The sequence below is a fragment of the Homo sapiens genome, chromosome 2 (assembly GCF_000001405.40).
Source record: "Homo sapiens chromosome 2, GRCh38.p14 Primary Assembly".
Taxonomy (NCBI): domain Eukaryota; kingdom Metazoa; phylum Chordata; class Mammalia; order Primates; family Hominidae; genus Homo; species Homo sapiens.
This window is the reverse complement of record NC_000002.12, coordinates 171,168,625-171,190,404: the sequence shown is the minus strand read 5'-3', so window position 1 is coordinate 171,190,404 and position 21,780 is coordinate 171,168,625. Positions and strand designations below refer to the sequence as shown.

General features: G+C 39.6%; 1 protein-coding gene across 1 annotated transcript in view, besides 2 other annotated features; it reads left to right on the top strand.

Moving 5' to 3' along the window:
• Nucleotides 1–21,780, top strand: part of TLK1 (tousled like kinase 1) — a 240,471-nt gene that overhangs the window by 40,889 nt on the left and 177,802 nt on the right. The window lies entirely within an intron of this gene.
• Nucleotides 5,638–5,842: a silencer, noted in NCBI's record as "fragment chr2:172041073-172041277 (GRCh37/hg19 assembly coordinates)". NCBI's record gives its function as "represses an EF-1alpha promoter that drives an FKBP-Casp9 reporter gene in an ReSE screen in K562 erythroleukemia cells {active_cell/tissue: K562}" and the evidence as "EXISTENCE:reporter gene assay evidence [ECO:0000049][PMID:32094911]".
• Nucleotides 16,924–17,253: an enhancer, noted in NCBI's record as "active region_16745". NCBI's record gives its function as "activates an Ori minimal core promoter by ATAC-STARR-seq in GM12878 lymphoblastoid cells {active_cell/tissue: GM12878}" and the evidence as "EXISTENCE:reporter gene assay evidence [ECO:0000049][PMID:35858748]".

The following is a 21,780-nucleotide window of genomic DNA, read 5'->3' as shown; positions in this document are numbered from 1 at the left end:
AACAGTTTGTCATCAATGTCCTAGTGTAGTGGCTTGACAGTAAGCTTTATGTTGAGGCCTGTACACTCACATCATGGTGCCAGGTGAGTTAGCACCATGGGCAGCAGGAGTTTTCCTGAAAATGATTCCTATACCTCCATGGTTGGCACTAACTCAACTATAAACAAAAGTGACTGTGTACCTCCTAAACAGATCCCACTGAATTTCCCCTTAGCTTCATCTCCCAAAAACCCTTGCCACTCCAGCAACACTCACTTTATGTTGTGAGGGTGGAGAAGTTCGAATGGAAAAGAAAAGTCATATTAATTATTGCAGCTAAAAGATCTTAATTGTGCAAATTTGACAAAAATATATGACCTTGTGAACATATTGCCAGGGTCTCTTCCTCACTGAATGGAGATGTCTGATAGATCTCTTTCCATGTTTTAGCTGGCACATGCCTTCTGCCCTTTTTTCTTTTCTTTTCTTTTGAGACAGGGTCTCGCTCTGTCGCCCAGGCTGGAGTGCAGTGGCATGATCTTGGCTCACTGCTTTCTGACCTTTTGATTTTCTTCTTGCTTGGAATTCAAATACAATGCTGGAGGTGGAGCAGCCATCTTGTGACCACAAAATGACAACATGAGGGCAAAAACCATATACAAAGGGAAAGGCACAGAAAGATGGAAGGCGCCCAGCTGATGTCATGGCCTATCTTCAGACTTCTTGGTACATGAAAAATATCTGTCATATTTCCTGTTATTTGCTAATGAATGCAATCACAAATTGAAATGCTTCCCATGATAGTGATTTTGAATTAATGATATAGGTAACAGAATTTCTTTTGCCACCCTGTGGGACTTTGAACATTTTAAAAATTGGTTGGCCTATGCAATAAAAAATGCATGTTGTTTTCTCAAGTCTTTCCCATACTTCTTATGAACATTTTAAAATCAGGAAATATTTGAAATATTAAAATTGTACTATCATAATCCCAGCACTTTGGCAGGCCAAGGAGGGCAGATCACGAGGTCAGGAGTTCGAGACCAGCCTGGCCAACACAGTGAAACCCGTCTCTACTAAAAGTGTAAAAACTTAACAGGGCATGGTGGTGGGCGCCTGTAATCCCAGCTATTCAGGAGGCTGAGGCAGGAGAATCGCTTGAATCCAGGAGGTGGAGCCTGCAGTGAGCCGAGATTGTGCCATTGCACTCTAGTCTGGGCGACAGAGCAAGACTCCATCTCAAAAAAAAAAAAAAAAAAATTGTACTATCAATATTTGAGTTGATCTTTCAATGTTATTTAAATTCCCTCTCTATATTCTGGTTACATGGATATTTCACTTCAGATGTGATATTGATTTAAGATGATTTTCATGGTTGACTTATAATTCTTATATGTTTACTTTGTCCTTTTGTAAAATGAAAATAATTATTGGTTCTTATTAAGCACAAAGGATGTAAATGAGTCTGTTGTAATGTCTTTGTATGCCATGGATAATGTATCAAACGATTCTCCTATGAGGTATTTTGCTTGAATCTTTTTTTTTTTTTTTTAGACAGAATCTTGCTTTGTCGCCTAGGCTGGAGTGCAGTGGCCTGATCTCGGCTCACTGCAACCTCCACCTCCCTGGGTTCAAGTGATTCTCCTGCCTCAGCCTCCCAAGTAGTTGGGACCACGTGCCACCACGTCCTACTAATTTTCTTTTTTTTTTTTTTTTTTTTGAGACAGAGTCTTGCACTGTTGCTGGGCTGGAGTGCAATGGCACAATCTTGGCTCACTGCAACCTCTGCCTCCCCAGGTTCACGTGATTCTCCTGCCTCAGCCTCCCAAGTAGCTGGGAATACAGGTGCACACCACCACACCCGGCTAATTTTTTTGTATTTTTAGTAGAGACAGGGTTTCACTATGTTGGCCAGACTTGTCTCGAACTCCTGACCTTGTGATCCACCTGCCTTGGCCTCCCAAAGTGCTGGGATTACAGGCGTGAACCACCGTGCTTGGCCTAATTTTTGTGTTTTTAGTAGAGATGGGGTTTCACCATGTTGGCCAGGCTGGTCTTGAACACCTGACCTTAGGTCATCCACCCGCCTTGGCCTCCCAAAGTGCTGGGATTACAGACATGAGCCACTGTGCCCAGCCTGCTTAGGTCTCAATGCCCATATTAGGATCCTGTAGAATAAGATTTTAAGTGTGTACAGGATTATTGCTTAAGCTAAGAGACTTTGGATTGTTTTCAGGGTGCTACTTTAGAATTGATCATATTTTTGCTAAAAGCTTACCAGGTATTCTTCACCTAGATCTGACATAAGGGATGAGTGAATTTCACTTGACCCTTGAACCATGCTCATGTGTTCCTTACAATTTAGTTATATCTATTTTTATATTTCATGTTATGCATGTGGATTCCTGCTCCTTGCCCCTCCCATGACTTTGTAATTCAGTCCAGAGTTCATAATCTGTCATACAATCTCCCTTCCCTCAACATGAAGTTTCTTTTTATTGTAGAATATACCACTCTGTTCTTTTATTGGTATATAATTAAATCTCTACTTATAGTAAGTTTCTTATTCATCCATTCATTCATTCAATAAATATTTAATGAATGCCTCTATATAACAAAGAGAGTTCTAGGCAGTGGAGATGTAGTATAAATAAGGGTAACAAGGTTCTTGTTCTCGTGAAGCTGACATTCTAGCAGACGCAGGCAGACAATAAACAATATTTTAAAACTAGTAATGGATCTAGGGAATGGTGGAGAGCTGGCTTCCTAAAAAATCATGTTTGGAGGAACTCAAAAGCCAGTAGCTCAAAAACTATCTCACACTTGACTGAAGTGATTTTGTGCCCCCTTCTTAAAATTCTGTCTAACACTTCAGCTCATGGCATCTGACATTCTTCCCTTAAAGACTGTAAGTGCTCATTAATAGCTAGAGTTAGAAGTAAGTTTAGGAAGGACTTGTGAAACTGTCATAGACTTTTAATGGTATTGAGTCATAGAATGTTAAAACTGGAAGGCAGATAGTTTAGAAATATTCTTTGGGAGTCACCTGAGTTATCAGGCCAAACAGTTAAGACCTTGGACCCTGAAGGAGTGAAGCATCAGGTGTACGTATTCCAGCGAGGATGTCTATTTTCTAGGATAATGCTAAATTGAGGAAGCTCCTAGGAGTGGATGCCAAAATGCAAGGGAGACTCCTAGAGATGGGTGGATTGATGGAAGAAAGTAATGAAGATGAACTTTGCTGTTTCTATTAGAATTACTCTTACCTGGACCAACCAAAAAAAATAAAAAGAAGTGCCTGGATTTAAAGACTTTATTCTTTTCTTTTTCTTTTTCTTTTTCTTTTTTTTTTTTTTTTTTTTTTTTTTGAGACAGAGTCTCACCCTGTCACCCAGGCTGGAGTGCAATGGCATGATCTCGGCTCACTGCAGCCTCTGCCTCCCAGGTTCAAACGATTCTTCTGCCTCAGCCTCCCGAGTAGCTGGGATTACAGGCAACCGCCACCACGCCCAGCCAATTTTTGTATTTTTAGTAGAGATGGGGTTTCACCATGTTGGCCAGGCTGGCCTCAAACTCCTGACCTCGTGATCCACCCGTCTCGGCCTCCCAAAGTACTGAGATTACAAGGATGAGCCACCGTGCCCAGCCTAAAGAGTATTCTTTTATCATTCATCTTTCATCAATTATATAAGAAACTAATATGGAAGTTACTATGAAAAGTGATTACAAAGTGATTATTTAAGCCCACACAACTTACAAAGTATGATGAGGTGTTCTGCCCACATTCCTTTGCAGTTTCAGTTCAGAGTGACTTTTAGTGCTGGGCTTCTCCTAGCCAATGGGAAATGGATGAGAAATAAAGTCCGCTTCTTAATTGAGTCACTGTGGGCATTATGGGCAGGATAATTCTTGGTCAGATAGGACTGTCCCACACATTGTAGGATATTTAGCATCTCTGGCTCCTAGACACTAAATGACAAGGGCTTTTACTCCCATCATTGTGACGAAAATTTCCCCAAACATCCCTCCAAGGGAGGGGACTGTCTCATCTCCCTGACTGAGAATCACTGGTAATCAGGAAGAGATTCTTAAATGTGTCGCTTCCATGTGGCATGGTGTGTGTGAGGCTAGATGTTTGTGTTCATTGCTACAGGAGCACAGAGGGAGAGGTATCTCACTGAATCTGGTGTTTCCTATAGGCATTTCGATGAGGATTATTCCTATCAAAATAATCCAACAATGCCATTCCTACTCAAAATATTTTAAAGCCTCCCCTCTGGGTTTACTTTTAGAGCCTGAGTCATATTCTTTTGAATTTGTTCAACGGAGGAAAGTTTCTTCCTTTGGAAGCATCCCAAAGTCACTTGTAGCCAAGCCTTGTGAGTAAGATGAGTGAACAAGCTGGACAATATTATTTTTAGTTAAAAGCAGTTTCACAGAACATAAAATTATGAGCCAGCACTTAGTAGTTAGTGAATTATGAAAAGCACTTAGTTCAGGTTTTAATAAGATATACCACTTCGTTCATTATTTTTCAAACTCTTATTATCACGAGATTGTTAGCACTCTGTTAGGTACTGCAGATGTAGAAATGAAAAACAATTTCTGCCATTAAGGAATTCACTATCTAGGGAGAGAGCAAGACAGAAAGATAAGTAAACCAATAAGTGCAATAAAAATGTAAAAGCGTATGCTAGAAGGGGTATATTTGTGCTGCTATGGGAGTACAAAGGAAGGACACTAGCCCAATCTAACAGCAAAGAATATGGACAGTTTGCCGCAGGAAGTTGGTGCTTTATCTGAGTTTTGAATGTACAGTGCTAATTGGCTTGAAGGAGGAATGGAAGATATTCTAGGCAGAAGCAGCAGCATATCCAAAGATACAAAGGATTGAAAGTGTAGTGCACTCTGCAAGCTTCAAGTTCTTTTTTGTCTGGAGCAGATGGTATCTAGTAGGAGATAACACTGGTGAGATAGGCAGTGTCATATGTCAATATCCTTTTTATTTGCCATACCAAGGAATTTGGACTCTGTATTGAAGATGAAGGGTAGCCATGAAGGACTCAAAGGGTAGAAATCTGATGATACTTGCATTTTTACATCATCCTAGAAACAGAGTGGAAAATGAACTGGAGGAGGATAAAACCAGAGACAGCAGTTAAGATGCTAGGAAACATGGGAGAAATGATGAGGTCCCAAATAAAGAGGTAAGGATGGGGATTAAATGGAGAGGGATGATTCAAGACATTTAAAAACATAAAGTAACAGTGATTAAAACATAGTTATAGGCCGGGCTCGGTGGCTCACGCCTGTAATCCCAGCACTTTGGGAGGCCAAGGCGGGCAGATCATGAGGTCAGGAGATCGAGACCATCCTGGCTAACATGGTGAAATCCCATCTCTACTAAAAAATGCAAAAAATTAGCTGGGCATGGTGGCGGGCACCTGTAGTCCCAGCTTCTTGGGAGTCTGAGGCAGGAGAATGGCCTGATCCTGGGAGGCGGAGCTTGTAGTGAGCCGAGATCGTGCCACTGCACTCCAGCCTGGGTGACAGAGCAAGACTCCATCTCAAACAAACAAACAAACAAACAACCATAATTATAAATGGTGAAAAGAGATCCTTTCTGATAAATGGATCAGGATAGAGTTCAGAAACCAACATTGAATAGGAATTATACATACAGTAAGGATGACATTTTAATTTAGTAGGAAATGAATGGAATTTTTTTTAGAGATGTTGGTTAGAAAGATATACTAGTTTTCTTTCTTTTTTTTTTTTTTTTTGAGACGGAGTTTTGCTCTTGTTGCCCAGGCTGGAGTGCAATGGCGTGATCTCTGCTCACCGCAACCTCCAACTCCCAGGCTCAAGTGATTCTCCTGCCTCAGCCTCCCTAGTAGCTGGGACTACAGGCATGAGCCACCACACCCAGCTAATTTTGTATTTTTAGTGGAGACGGGGTTTCTCCATGTTGGTCAGGCTGGTCTCAAACTCCCGAATTCAGGTGATCTGCCTGCCTTGGCCTCCCAAAATGCTGGGATCACAGGCGTGAGGCACCACGCCTGGCACTAGTTTTCTAATTATCAAATTATCAAAAACTTGATGGCTTAAACAATATAAATTTCTTTTCTTATTGTTCAGTAGGTCAAAAACCTGACATAGATCTTACTGGGCTAAAATCAAGGTGTCAGCAGGGCTTTCTGCTTTTTGGATTCTCTAGGTGAGAACCTAGTTCCCTGCCTTTTCTAGCTTCTAGAAGCCACCCTCGTTCCTTGGCTTTTGGCCCTTTCTTCAGTCTCCAAAGCCTGTAACATTGCACGTCTCTGACCATTCTTCTGTAGTCACATCGCCCTCTGACCACAGCTAGGAAAGTTTCTCCACTTTGAAGGACCCGTGTGATTAGATTGGACCCACCCAGACAATCTGGGATAATCTTCTCATCTCCACAATCCTAACCATATCTGGAAAATCTCTTATGCTATGTAAGGTAACATATCCACAGGTCTTTGGTTTATGGCATGGACAACTCTGTGGAGCCATTATTCTGCCTACTACAGGTGAAAAAAATGTTAATTTAGAGTCCTACTTCATGACATAAATGAAGAATAAATTACTGATGGATTAAAGATCTAAACATCAAAACTAACAAAGTATGAAAAAATGTAGTAGGATATCTTTAAATAAGGAAGACTTTCCTGGATAGGATAAGAAACCCAATGGTCATCAATTAAACTATTGACAGACTTGGCCCAATATTTAAATTATTTAAAGCATCCATACAATGAAAGACAAGCAAAAAGTTACAAAGTTAACAGGCAAGCACCAGACTAGAAGACAATATTTGCAACATATACATATATAATAGACAGATAATATCCATAGTATATAAAGAGTATCAAAAAATCAATGAAGAATAAAACCAACCAGATAGGAAAGTAGACAAAGGATAAAACAGATGATTTAGAAAAGAAAAAATAAAAGTAACTAATAAACAGAGAGTAAGAAAGCTAAACCTCTTTCACTATCAGGGAGTATTAGGAATTTCTACATATGTGGTAAATCTTTAAAGAAAAGCAAGGAAATGATAAGATATATTCAGGATATATCTTATCCAGTTTAGAGTTATCTGTGGATGGAGAGGAACACCCACAGCTTTAACATTATTGGGAGCTTTAACATTATTGACAAATTTTCTGTTTCTCAAACTTAGTAGTAAATTCATAGATGTTCATTTTTATTTTTAAATGTCATTAATGTACATATATTACACTTATTCTTTTTTGTATATGTAATGTATCATGATTTTTAATATGGAAAAACAGGTTTTTAAACTTCATTTTCAGACAACTTATTTGAAACAACTTCAAACTTACAGAAAAATTGCAAGAATTATACAAATAACCCCCATAAACTGTTTGTCCTGAGACCCTATTCAAGTTTGTCCAGCGTCACAATAATGTTCTTTCTTTCTTTCTTTCTTTCTTTCTTTCTTTTTTTTTTTTTTTTGGAGTCAGGGTTTTGACCTGTCACCCAGGCTGGAGTACAGTGGCATAATCATAGCTCTCTGCATCCTTGACCTCCTGGGCTCGAGCAAACCTTCCTGCCTCAACCTCTGGATGAGCTGGGACTACAGGGATGTCCCCACCATACCTGGCTAATTTTTTAATTTTTTGTTGTGATAGGGTCTCACTGTGTTGTCCAGGCTGGTCTCATACTCCTGGGCTCAAGCAATCTTCCCGCCTCAGCCCCTCAAAGTGTTGGGATTACTGGTGTGAGCTACTGTGCCTGGCCTCAGTATATTCTTTTTGCTATAAAGCAAAAGGATACATTCCATGTTTTGTACCCAGTTATCATGTCTCTCTAGTCTCCCACCCTGAAATAGTTCTTCAGTATTTCCTTGTTTTCCATGGCCTTGTAGAATGTCTCTCAGTTTAGACTTATCTGAAGTGTGCTTTTGATTTGACTTAGATCCTGCTGGAACATCATAGAAGTGAAGCTAATTTCTTACTGCATTCTAATAAGTAGCCCACAATGTCAGTATGTCCCATTTCTGGTGGTATTAATTTGATCAGTTGATTAAGATGGTATATGCCAGGTTTCTGAGAAATTATTCTTCTATTCCTTTGTAATTAATAAGAATTTGGGGGAAAGTACTTTGAGACCGTGTAAAATTCTCTTCCTCATTCTACTTTCACCCACTAAATTAGCATCCATTGAGGCTTTTTCTCAATTTTTATTATGCTGATTGCCAAAAAGTGATTTTCTAATTCCATCTACATTTGTTAGCACAGACAGTGTGATTTCCATATGGCCCTATTCCCAGAGATAGTCATCACTAGCATTCCTTTTTGATAGTCTGATGGGGATTTTTCTCTACATGCTCAGGTATAGGAGTGAAAAGCCACTGGTTGGATCGACCCAGAGTAGGTTCAGTAAGTGATCTTTCAAAGGAGTAAACAAGTTAATTGTCTTGGCAAGAGTAGGATCGAAGAGATGGATTGTGGGGCGTAGCTGGATAAGGAAGGAAGTAAAGCCAGAGGCAGCTGACAGATTAGGAGGAGATGGAGAGAGAGAAGGACTGCCGTAGTTTGAATGCTCTACCCCTTCGAATCTCACATTGAAATTTGATCCCTAATGTTGGAGGTGGGACCTAATGGGAGGTGTTTGGGTCATGAGAGTGGATCCTTCAAGAAGAGATTAAAGTTTAGAGAGGAATAGGTTATTGCTCTATTAGGTCCCTTAAGAGCTGGCTATTAAAAAGAGCCAGGTGCCTCTCCCTCTCCTTGCTTCCTTTCTTGCCACGTGATCTCTGCACACAACAGTTCCCCTTCGCTTTCCACCATGGGTGGAAGCAGCCTGAGGCTCTTACCAGAAGCAGATGCTGACACCATGCTTCTTGTATGGACTGCAGAACCAGGAGCCAAATAAACCTTTTCTTTATAAATTACCCACCCTCAGGCATTCCTTTAGAGCAACACAAAATGGACTGAGATGAGGACGTAGAAACTCTTTGATGCTAATATGTTAGAAGGGAAGCTTTAGGATGTACAAAAAAATTAGATCACTTAGGTCCTGGCTTGGTTTTTTACTTTGGATTTCTCAGATGCTTCAGAGTCTTTATATGGACACCTCATTGATGAAGCACATGGAATGATTCATACCAATCGAAGTTAAGAAACAAGTTTCACTGTTTCACTTGTGAGTGTGACAATTTTGGGGTCTTGGTGATGGTGTTTTACAACTACCAACTTTGAAGTTTTGTTTCAAGATCATTAAAGAAACATTGAATTTTGTTTCAGCTACTGTTTCTCTCAATGAGACATTAATTCTTCCAGCTTCTGTTGAAAGATCAGAACAAATGGCAAACCTTTATTGTTTTTGTTCATTATACAAACAGAAACTTTCTTGTGCTCAAAGCTTTTTACAGAATGAATCTGTTCTAACTTTAACTCCTCAACCATTATTATCAGAGTTAATCATATTTTAAAGCCCCAAGTCTCTGAACTTTTTAACATTTGCATTAGACCTATAGTTTTACTTCTCATGAAAAGTCATCTTCTCCAGCTTTGAACATTATGCTAAAGTAAAAAAAAAAAAAAAAAAAAGCATCCTCTTAACATTATTTGTATGCCCATATAGTCCTAACATGTCAAGTGACTCATTTGCAGAATTTACATGACTGAAAATGTAGTCTCAAATCAGTGTCTCAGTAACAGTCACTCATTTTAAAGCCAATGCAGAAAAACCTCCTGGACTACTGAAACTTTGTAACATCAGCACAAAGCTTCACACAGAGCAAATACAAACTACTTCAGAACTCTGGAAAGAGTCATTCTAACCTATGGCACTGAAGATGCACTGAATTATCCAATGCAATAAAAAGTATATATAAAATTTAATAGTCATCAGTGTAAAAGGCCATAATACTTGAAGTAGTTAAAACATGTTGTAGTCTTCTCGGTTCTGACAGTTCCTCTTTTGTTTCCAGGAATCATAAGGAGAAAACAATTGGTCTCCTTACTTTGTAGCACTCCCATGTTGCTAATCTGTGATTTCAATTATCCATACTCAAGAAGAGAGATATCAATATGGGTAAAACAACTGATAATATGCTAAGTCTTCCCTTCCTATCAGATTAGGACCTGAATTTTGATGACAAATACTGCCTATTGAGACGCAGGGACCCGGGGGGCAATTTTTTTTTTTTAGACAAAGTCTCGCTCTCGCTCTCGCTCTGTCATCCAGGCCAGAGCCAGAGTGCAGTGGCCCCGAGTAGCTGGGATTATAGACGTCCACCCCCATGCCTGGCTAATTTTTTTTTTTTTTTTTTTTTTGAGACAGAGTCTCACTCTATCACCCAGGCTGGAGTGCAGTCGTGAGATCTCAGCTCACTGCAACTTCTGGCCCCCAGGTTCCAGTGATTCTTGTGCTTCAGCCTCCAGAGTAGCTGGCATTACAGCCACATGCCACCACACCCAGCTAGTTTTTTTTATTTTTAGTAGAAATGGGGTTTCACCATATTGGCCAGGCTTGTCTTGAACTCCTGACCTCAAGTGATCCACCAGCCTTGGCCTCTCAAAGTGTTGGGATTGCAGGTGTGAGCCACCATGCCCGGCCTAATTTTTGTGTTTTTAGTAGAGACGGGGTTTTATCATGTTGGCCAGGCTGGTCTTGAACCCCTGACCTCAAGTGATCACCCGGCCTTGGCCTCCCAAAGTGCTGGGATTACAGGTATGAGCCACTGCACCCGGCTGCTCCTGCTCCTTAATGTCTCCTTTACTTACTCCTTATTTGTGAATAATGAAATTGATAAATAGAACAAATACTGTCTGCTTGATTGTCAGACCAAAAACTACTTCCTTTTTCTCTTCTTCGCTTACTCCTTCTCTTCTCATAAAAGGAATATAAGGAGCTAACTGCTTAAATGTCAGACTCATAGCAATAAAGAGCCTATCATGTTTCAAAACCTCTGAAAGCTCTCTAGAGGACAAATAGGGGGCATTGGGGAATCCACACCTTCTCTAACTTTTTTCTTCTCTTAGCCAAGATTCCAATTCATGTCTGTCTGATTCTCTTAACTGCTAGATTATGAAAAATTAGGTCTTTGAAATGAGAATGAGAAAGAAAAAAATGTCATCATGTATATTTATTTCATTTGGGAATAAAAGGGTGCCCTGTAATTTAGAATAAGAGACAGGGATGACTCATTACAACTATGAGGATTATTAAGGAAATGAATAAATCAATCACACCACTCCAACTGTACTTGTCATCACAGTAGCATTGCCAATTTCCCTATACAGTTGGTAATTGTTATTCCATGTCTTCTTACATGGAATATAAGGTCCATTCTGGTGTAACAAGAAATATTAGAATAGTCTTCAAACCCATCATTAGATGAGGCTATAAAAAGCACTAACTAGAGCAGGTGCAAGCTACCTCAGAACCCTGGAAAGAGTCATTCAAAATTATAGCACCAAAAATGCACTGAATTATCCAATGTAATAAAAAGTATATATAAAATTTAATAGTCATCTGTGTAAGAGGCCATATACTTGAAAATTAAGACTGTTTTGATAATGTTAAGTTAAATTGATATCCCAAACCAGGAAAATGGTAGAATGCCTAAACTAACATTTAAATTTCTTCTGTTTAATAAGTCTATAACTGCTTAACAAAAAGAATAAGAGCAATATATATTACAGCAGCTTTGTTTGACTCTATTTAGACAAGTAAAATCTTACGCTTCCCTGTAGTTTTCCTTATAAAGCTGACTGATTCTCAGTTCATTTCAGCTAATGTTTTGCTTGATATGTCTTCGTTGCTTTGGTTGTCAGGCTTGGAGTTACTTTTCCACTGCTGTTTTTGCCTGCTCTCTAGCTGAGGTTACCATTGTTGTTATGAGGTGTCTTCACCCCAGCCTATCTGTCTTATACTGAGTCAATGAAGAGGGAAGATGGAGGACAAGAAAGGGTGAGAAGCCAAAGAGCTTCCCTTAAGCTCCTGTCTGTAACTGAAAGCTCCATGACATTCCATCCAGAAATCAAGAAGCATATCTGTGGAAACTGAAAGGAATAAAGGCCTATGCAGAACAGTTGAGAGCACAGACTTGGCCTCAAGCAGACCTGGGTTCCAATCCTGGTTTCTTCCCTTGATATCTGCGTGACCTTGGACAAGCTCCCTAATCCCTCTAAACCTGAGTTTTACTGCTTAAAAAAATGAGAAGAACAATATTATCTATCTTATAGAGTTTATTGACAGGAGCATATTAGATAATGCATTTAAACACTCTGTATAGAACCTAGCATATAGTAAGCATTCAAAAATGCAAGGCCAGGTGCAGTGGCTCATGCCTGTAATCCCAGCACTTTGGGAGGCCAAGGCGGGTGGATCACCTGAGGTCGGGAGATCTCAGGGGACCAGCCTGGCCAACATGGAGAAACCCCGTCTCTACTAAAAAATACAAAATTAGCCAGGTGTGGTGGTGCATGCCTGTAATCCCAGCTACTTGGGGGGCTGAGGTAGGAGAATCGCTTAAACCCGGGAGGCAGAGGTTGCGGTGAGCCAAGATCACGCCATTTCACTCCAGCCTGGGCAACAAGAGCGAAACTCCATCTCAAAAGAAAAAAAAATGCTAGTTAGTAAAGTATGGATGCTATTAATATAAAAGCTTTTTGTTCAAAAATGCACTATAGTCTTGGTAGGACATGCTCCCATATCCTTTTGGGGGCCTTATTCAGTAAGGACCTTGAGTCTAAACATTGCTGTACTTCTATCACTTTGTTAGTTGAAAAGAGACAGGTTCTAAACAAAATGGTAAAGTATATCTTTGATGACCAGTTCTGTTCCTAATTTGGTTTCTCTTTCCAATAACCATGCCCTTCCCTCCTCTCAAGACACTTAGGATTCTGTATGCCGAGGTCTCTCACAAGGGCTTTCTGTCTTGAGGTAGCAGTACTTGTTCTGTTTGAGGAACAGCTTTAAGAAGCCCAATGAGGTGGCTAATGCCTGTAATCCCAGCACTTTGGGAGGCTGACGCAGGTGGATCCCTTGAGCCTAGTAGTTCGAGACCAGCCTGGCCAATGTGGCAAAAAAACCATCTCTACAAAAAATTTAAAAATTAGCCAGGCATGGTGGTGTGTGCCTGTAGTACCAGCTACTCTGGAGACTGATATGGGAGGATCCTTTGAGCCTAGGAGGTCAAGGCTGCAGTGAGCTGTGATCGGGCCACGGCACTCCAGCCTGGGTGACAGAGTGAGACCCTGTCTCAAAAAAGAAAAGAAAAAAGAAAAGAGGAGTCAGGCATACTGGCTCATGCCTGTAATCCCAGCACTTTGGGAGGCAGAGGCAGACACATCACTTGAGGTCAGGAGTTCAAGACCAGCCTGGCCAACATGGCAAAACCCCATCTCTACCAAAAATACAAAAATTAACTGGGCATGGTGGCAGGCACCTGTAATCCCAGCCACTCAGGAGGGTGAGGCAGGAAAATTGCTTGAACCCGGGAGGTGGAGGTTGCAGTGAGCCGAGATTGTGCCACTGCACTCCAGCCTGGGTGACAGAGGGAGACTGTTTTAAAAAAAAAAAATTAAAAAAAAAATAGGCCGATGAGGTGAAGCAGAGAGTGAGCAAGGCAGAGAATGCTCAGAGAGGAGGCTGAAGATCTAGAACAGAGGCCAAGTCATTGTGGACGCTGAGGGCAATGTAGGGCAGGAATGCAGGAGTGGAAGCAGGGAGACTATGAAGTTATTGTTTTAGCTCAGTAAGAGATGACGGTAGCCTAGAGTGGTAGCCATGAAGAAAAGGAGCAATGGTAATATTAGAATATGCTTTTAATGCGTAGCAGATCAGAACTTAATTATGTGGATGTGGGAAGTGTGGAATCAGACAATTCCTAGGATTTCAGCCTCAGCAACTACTAACTAATGGGGCCATTTACAGAGATGGGAAAACTGGGGAAAGAACAGGTTTGGGGGCAAAAATCAAGAGTTCCGTTTTGGATATGTGAGTTATTAGACAGCCCAAGAGAAGCCATGCTAGCCGAGGTTGGAGCTCAGAGAGTGGTCAGGGCTGGAGACATGTATTCTGAACTAATCTGCATAGAGATGGTTTTTAAACCCACACAGTGTGCTGCTCAACACTGGTCCCAATTAGAATCACCTGGACTGCTTTAAAACCCTTGATATCCCGGCCGGGCACAGTGGCTCACACCTGTGATCCCAACACTTCGGGAGGCTGAGGCGGCCGGATCACCTGAGGTTGGGAGTTCAAGACCAGCCTGACCAACATGGAGAAACCCTGTGTCTACTAAAAATACAAAAAAATTTAGCAGGGCATGGTGACCCATGCTTGTAATCCCAGCTACTCAGGAGGCTGAGGCAGGAGAATCGCTTGAACCCAGGAGGTGGAGGTTGCAGTGAGCAGAGGTCGCGCCATTGCACTCTAGCCTGGGCAACAAGAGTGAAACTCCGTCTCAAAAACAAAAACAAAAACAAAAACAAAAAAAAAACCTTGATATCCTGACTCCAGCCCCAAAGATTCTGATACAAAAGGGGCCTGGATTTGGTATTTCTTTTTAAAAAGTTTCTCAGGTGATTCTAATGTGCAGTCAAGGTTGAGAACCAGGGTCCATGGGAGGTAGTTGTGGCCATCAAGGTGGGAGGATAGTGTCCCAGAGGTCAAATAAAGACAGAGGTTTAAGAAGAAGGGAGCAATCAGCTGAATCAAATACTGCTAGGAGGGCTAGTTAGATAAAGACTGAGAGGTAACTGTTAATTAGGAATGATGAAGTGTGTTACAGATAGAATGGGAGATAACAAATGGTGCTCCAGTTTTTCTTCATTGTGTATGTACAGTTGTCCCTTGGTATCCATAGGGGATTGGTTTAAGGACCACCTTCCCATACCAAAATTCATGGATACTCAAGTCCCTTATATAAAATGGTGTCATATTTACATACTTAAAAACTTTAAATCATCTCTAGATTACTTATGATACCTAGTACAATGTAAATGCTCTGTAAATAGTTGCTATACAGTATTGTTTAGGGAATAATGACAAAAAAGAAAAGTCTGTACATGTTCAGCATAGAATGCAACCACTACTATTTCTTTTTTTTTTCAAATGTTTTTAATCTTTAGTTGATTAAATCCATGGATATAGATACCATGAATACGGAGGGCTGAGTGTACTTTTTTTGAAACAATCTCACTCTGTAGTTCAGGCTGGAGTGCAGTGGCACAATCATAGCTCACTGCAGCCTTGACCTCCTGGGCTCAAGCAATCCTCTCACATCAGCCTCCCAAGTAGATGGGACTACAGGCTTGCACCACCGCACCTGGGGCTGATTTTATCCATTTTGTATAGAGACGGGGCCTTGCCGTGTTGCCCAGGCTGGTCTCAAACTCCTAGCCTCAAGCAATCCTCCCAACATGTTGGGATTATAGGCATGAGCTACTTCACCCAGCCTTGATTGTACTTACTGAGTGAAGTTGGGAGTCATAAGGCATTTTATAAATAAAAATCATTTAAAATGTTAAGGGTAATATTACTAAAAGTTATATTCTAAATCTCCCTTAAAAAAAAAGATGGTGAATCTAAATAATAAGTAGCTACAGAAAATTTGGGGAATTGAGAAAAGGAAAAAAAATGTTATCCAAAAGACTATTGTGTGAACACAATCACCATTACTTAGTCATTGACTAGCTTTCATTTAGTGAATTCCTACTTTGCAGCAGGCTCTGTGCTAAGGATATAGAAATGAATATGACAAAAGTATTTGCCCTCAAGGAACTCAGGGCTTAGTGGAGGAGGAGGACATGCAAAAAATAATTCTAAAACAAAGTGATAAGTGATATAATAAAGATTATACTAGTATGCCATGGGAGCAAGGAGATAGAGAGCTTAATATTGCATGTTAAATAATAATTATGAAGAGTACCTTGGCAAATTAAAAAATTGCTCCGTTTTAATGTTAGTGATAAAAACAAGAAGGAGAATTAGTGTACCCCATGATTACAATCATATAACAATGTGATTCCCCAAAGGTTCTCTAGCCAAGGAGAGGCTTGAGCTGCATCTTGAATGGTGAGTCAAGCAAATAAGATTAGGAAAAGGGTGGGGGAAAGAATAGGTAGGAGTAGGAAATTCCAAGCTGGAGGAAGGCAAAGGAAGTGAAACAGAGTGTATAACCTGTTTGGTCACTGTAATAACTTTCGTGTGGCTGCAGTGTGGGATTCCCATGAGAGAGTAACCAGATATAAAACTGGGAAAACAGGCAGGTGACAACAAGATTAAAAAGATGAAAAAGAATCACATAGTGCTAGAAAGACTAGTTGGAAAGCTTTTGGAATAATCCAGGAGGAAAAATAATAAAAGTTTGAACTAAGGCAATGGAAGAAGGACGGATGGATGGACAGATGAATGAATGGGAGGAGATGGATTCAACAGGCTGTTTAAGAGACACCGTAGTCTTAGGGAGTGGCAAGGGATGGAGGTATGGGAAATGGGGAGCTGGGGGTGACAAGAATGACTCTCAGTTCTCTTGTTTGGATAACTAACTGGGTTCTTGTCTTGGTTCTTATTCCTGGTCATTTCTACCCAAGATAGTGAATATAGGATGAAGACATTTGAGAAAACTGTGGAACATCCAAGGGGAGATGCATAGGGTCAATTCTGAACCTCCTGGAGCTCAGGAGAAAGATGTGGGCTGAAGAAACAAATTAAAGAGTCATCATTGGGCCAGATGTGATGGCTCACACCTATAATACCAGGCTTTGGGAAGCCGAGCGGGGAGGATGCCTTGAGCCCAGGAGTTTGAGAACAGCCTGGGCAACATAGTGAGACCCTGCCTCTGCCAAAAAAAGAAAAAAAAATTAGCTGGGCATGCTGGTGCACACTTGTAGTCCTAGCTACTCTGGAAGCTGAGGTGGGAGGATCCCTGGAGCCCAGGAGTTTGGGGCTGCAGTCAGATGTGATGAAACCAGTGCACTACAGCCTGGGCAACAGGAGTTTGGGGCTGCACTGAGATGTGATGACACCACTGCACTACAGCCTGGGCAACAGAGTGAGATCCTGTCTAGCTCTGTACATATGTGATCCGTATGAGTCACAAGAGTAGATGAGATTGGGCAAGAAAGTTGCATATATATCATTTGTGTGTTTTCCTTTTTAGTTATGTTATTCTAACTGGTATATTTCCTTAGTTATAATAATAGTGAGCATACAAGTTTCTGTTTCCTTTTTCACCCTACATCATACCAAAAGCTTTTGTCATGTTGCACCAGAGTTTTCAAAGTAGTCACAACTGGCTGAATAAAACTATACTAACAGGATATGCTATAGTTATAATTGACTTTGACTCTGTGATAAACATTTTTATTCATAGTATTTCCCCATATTTTGAATTTTTTTCTTAGGAAAGATTCTCAGAAATAGGAATATATGTATGTTATACAGTTAAAGTGGACTATACATATATCCAAATCACTTTCCAAAATGTTTGTACCAGTTTATCAACAAGGTATGAGAATACTAGAGTATTAGTCTGTTTTCTCACTGCTATAAAGAAATACCTGAGACTGGGTAATTTATACAGAAAAGAGGTTTAATTGGCCCACAGTTCTGCAGGCTGTACAGGAAGCATGATGCTGACATCTGCGTGGCTTCTGGGGAGGCCTCAGGTAACTTTTAGTTATGGTGGAAGGCGAAGGGGAAGTAGGCACATCTTACATGGCCAGAATAAGAGCAAGAGAGAGAAATGGGGGAAGGTGGCACTTTTAAACAACCAGGTCTCATGAGAACCCACTCACTATCACAAGAACAGCACGGAGGAGAAAATTCACCCCCATGATCCAATCACCTCCCACCAGGCCCCACCTCCAATACTGAGGATTACAATCCTACATGAGATTTGGGTGGGGACACAGATTCAAACCATATCAACTAGTTTAAGTAGATACTTCCCATAATTTTGTATTGTGTGTGTGGTGTGTCTATATTTTTATTGTATTTGTTAAACATTTTATTGAAGTATAACTACATGTACCAAAGTGTACAAATCTAAATGTATATAGCTTGATGAATTTCCACAAAGTAAACGTACTTTGTAACCTGAACCTAAACTAAGAAACAGAACATTACCAGTCACTCAGAAGCCTCCCTCCTATCCTCTCAAGGGTAACCACTGTCCTGATTTTTAACCCATAGAATGATTTGCCTGTTTTTAAACTTTATATAAATGGAATCACATAGTATGTAATCTTTCATGTCTATCTTCCTTTGCCCAACATTATTTTTGTACAGTTCATCTACATCATTGTGTTTAGTTGTGATTTGTTAATTCTCATTTCTGCATAGTATTGTATTATGTGAATATTCTATAATTTATTTATTCTAATGAGTACTTAGATAGTTTCTAGTTTGGGGCTATTACAAACAGTGCTGCTTTATGAACATTCTTGTACATGTGCTTTTGATGAATATATGTAACGCATTTTTGTTGGGTATATACCTAGGAATGAAATTGATGGATCACAGATATGGACATTTCAGCTTTAGTGGTTACTGCTACCAGGTACCAATATCCACTTCCACCAGTGTGTGGGAGTTCCCAGTGTTGCACATATTTACTGACATTTCATATTTTTCATTTTAGCCTGTCTGTTGAGTGGTATCTCATTTGCCTTAATTGTTTTGCTGTTGTTGACTAAAGATATTTAGCATTTTTTTTTGCATTTGGTTATTCTTTTTTGTGAAGCAACTGTTCAAGTTTTTGTTTGTTTCTACTATATTATCTATCTTTTCCTTAAAGGTTTTATTTTGCTTTTTACATATTCTGAATACAAGTCCTTTGTCAAATATATGTATTGCAACTATCTTTTTCCGCTCTGTGTTTGCCTTCACTGTCTTTTTTTTTTTTTTTTTGGAGATGAGGGCAGTGTAAGAGTCTCCTATTTTGCCCAGACTGATCTTGAACTTTCAATCTTCCTGCCTCTGCCTCCTCAGTAGCTAGGACTACCTACAGGTGCATACCACTGCACCCAGCATCCTTTCACTGTCTTTTCTTTTTTTTTTCCAGACAGGGTCTCACTGTGTCATCCAGGCTGAAGTGCAGTGGCGTGATCTCAGTTCACTGTAGCTTTGACCTCCCTCCACCTGCCTTGGCCTCCCAAAGTGCTGGGATTACAGGCATGAGCCACTGCACCCGGTCTCTTCACTGTCTTAAAGCAAGTTTTTTGATGATTAGAAGTTCTTTATCTTAATATTGTTTAACCTATCAAAAATATCCCATATGGTTAGCACATTTCATGTCCTGTATAAGAAACCTTTGCCTAACTTAAGATCATAAAAATATTTTTAGATTTTTTAAGAGCTTTATTTGTTTTAATTTTCATATTTACAGCTACAATTCATTTGGAATATATTTTTGTGTTTGGTGTGAGGTAAGGGTCAAAGTACGTATTTTCCCCTCTGGATATCCATTTGACCCAGCCTCATTTATTGAAAAGATTATTCTTTACCCCACTTCACTGAGTATTAATATTCTAAGTTTTTCTTTTTAGTTTAATTGATGAAAAGTAGTACTTCATTGTTTAATTTAAATTTCTTGACTATTTGGGTGGTTTGACATTTGTCCATTGTGTTAATCAAGACAGGATAGGCTATGCTGTAATAGCAAATAAAGCACCAAACAACGTAGGTTTATTTCTCTACATGCAAAGTCTGGTGCCAACTTATGGGGCAGCTACGCTCCCTGCAGTGATTGGAAGATCCAGGGCACTTTCACCTTGTGACTTCGCATCATTATCTGGTCTCTATAGTACCTACCAGAGGAGAAGACAGAGTGTGATGGTGGCGCAATGACTCTTAAGTCTTTTGTCTGGAAGAGACACACCAGATGTCTGCTTACATTCCACTGTCTATACCCAATAACGTGGCCCTATCTCACTGAAAGGAGACTTGAAGGTATACTTTACCCATGTGCCCAGGAAGAAGAGGAAAACTGATACAGTGAGGTAGTGGTTCTGCAACACTCCCATAGTTAGCTAATTTATTTTCAATTTTGTGAATTGTTGTATCTATTGACATTTATCTTTTTGTGTATCTCATGTTTATATTAAATCAAAATAACCTTTAAGCTTTGAATTCTATTTTAATGTAATAATGCTTTTTCTAATTTATTACAAGCTTGCTTACTACATATTTACCTATCCTTTTCTTTGTAGTCTTTTTGTCTTATTTTATTTAGAAGTATTTTTTTATAAGCAGTAAAGTATTGGATTTTAATTTTTAACACAATCTGGGAGGCTTTTTCTATTAATAGGGAATCTACATTTAATAACTAAACTTATCATGGTTAGTCTCACTGCTGCCATGTTTTTATGCCTTTCTTTTCATGTGTGCATGCTGTTTCTTTTCAGTTTTGTCATTTGCTCTGCAGACTTAGTTTTGTTTGCTCTTATTTTCTACTGTGATTTTCAAAGATGGCCATTCCTCTGATTCTGCTAGTGGGTTCCTGAAAGCTTTCCACAAATACTTTAAAAATCTACCTTTGCTTAATTGAATCAATAAAAAGCCAAACAATAGCTTTTAACTATCTGCGGAAAAGAAGGCACCAAACGTTTTGTTTTTCTTCTAGCCCCTGTTAATCCTTCTTTTTCTTGGTCTTCATTAATTTAATCTGGGGTAATAAACTCAGTCATTTGAAAAAATACAGCGTTTTTTTTCCCCATAAAGTACTTGCTATTCCTATAAAACGTTTGGAAAATATTGAAAAGTACAAAGGCTAACAACAAAAATCTGCCATTATTTTACCACAGAAAGACAACCACTCTTAATACTTTGGTATATTTTCAACTGGGCCTGGTGGTGCATGCCTGTAATTCCAATTATGTGGAAAAATCCTTGACCCAGGAATTCAAGGCCAGCCTGGGAAAGATAGTGAGAACTGGTAATAAAAATATTTTGATATATTTCCTTTCATTCTTTTTGTTATACACATTTTATATGATTGAGACTATATTGTATATATATATTTTATGCTGCTTTATTCACTGAGATGCTCTTATAAGCAAACTATTGCTTTTGGTTATTATAAAATCTTCACAAACATTTTAATGGCCTTATCATATTTTATAAGATAGATGAGCCATAATTTATTACCATATGCTTAATATTGTACATTTACGTTATTTTCAATTTTATTGTTACTATAAATAATGTTGAATAGAATTATCTTTGTGTACAAAGAGAAAAAGCACAGACACATTTTTTCTAATTTAAGATTGTTTCTTCCAGATAGATTCCCAGAATGAAATTAGTGGATCAAAAAACAAATTTTTTTTTTTTTTTGAGAAAGGGTCTCACTCTGTTGCCCAGGCTGGAGTGCAGTGGCGAGATCTCGGCTCACTGCAACCTCTGCCTCCCAGGTTCAAGCGATTCTCCTGCCTCAGCCTCCCAAGTAGCTGGGATTACAGGCATGCGCCACCACACCCGGCTTTTTGTATTTGTTGCAGAGACGAGGTTTCACCATGTTGGCCAGGCTGGTCTTAAACTCCTTACCTCAAGTGATCCACCTGCCTCTGCTTCCCAAAGTGCTAGGATTACAGGCATGAGCCACTGCACCCTGAGCACACACTTCCAGAATAACTCTCATCATTATAAATAAAATCTCAATGTAACTATATTGTTGTGATAGTTCTATTAACATTTTAGACTTAGCATCATCTTATCTCCCATTATTGGTGTTTATATTATCTTGTATCTATAGCTAAAGTCTGTTTTAGACACCAGTTCTTTCCAACC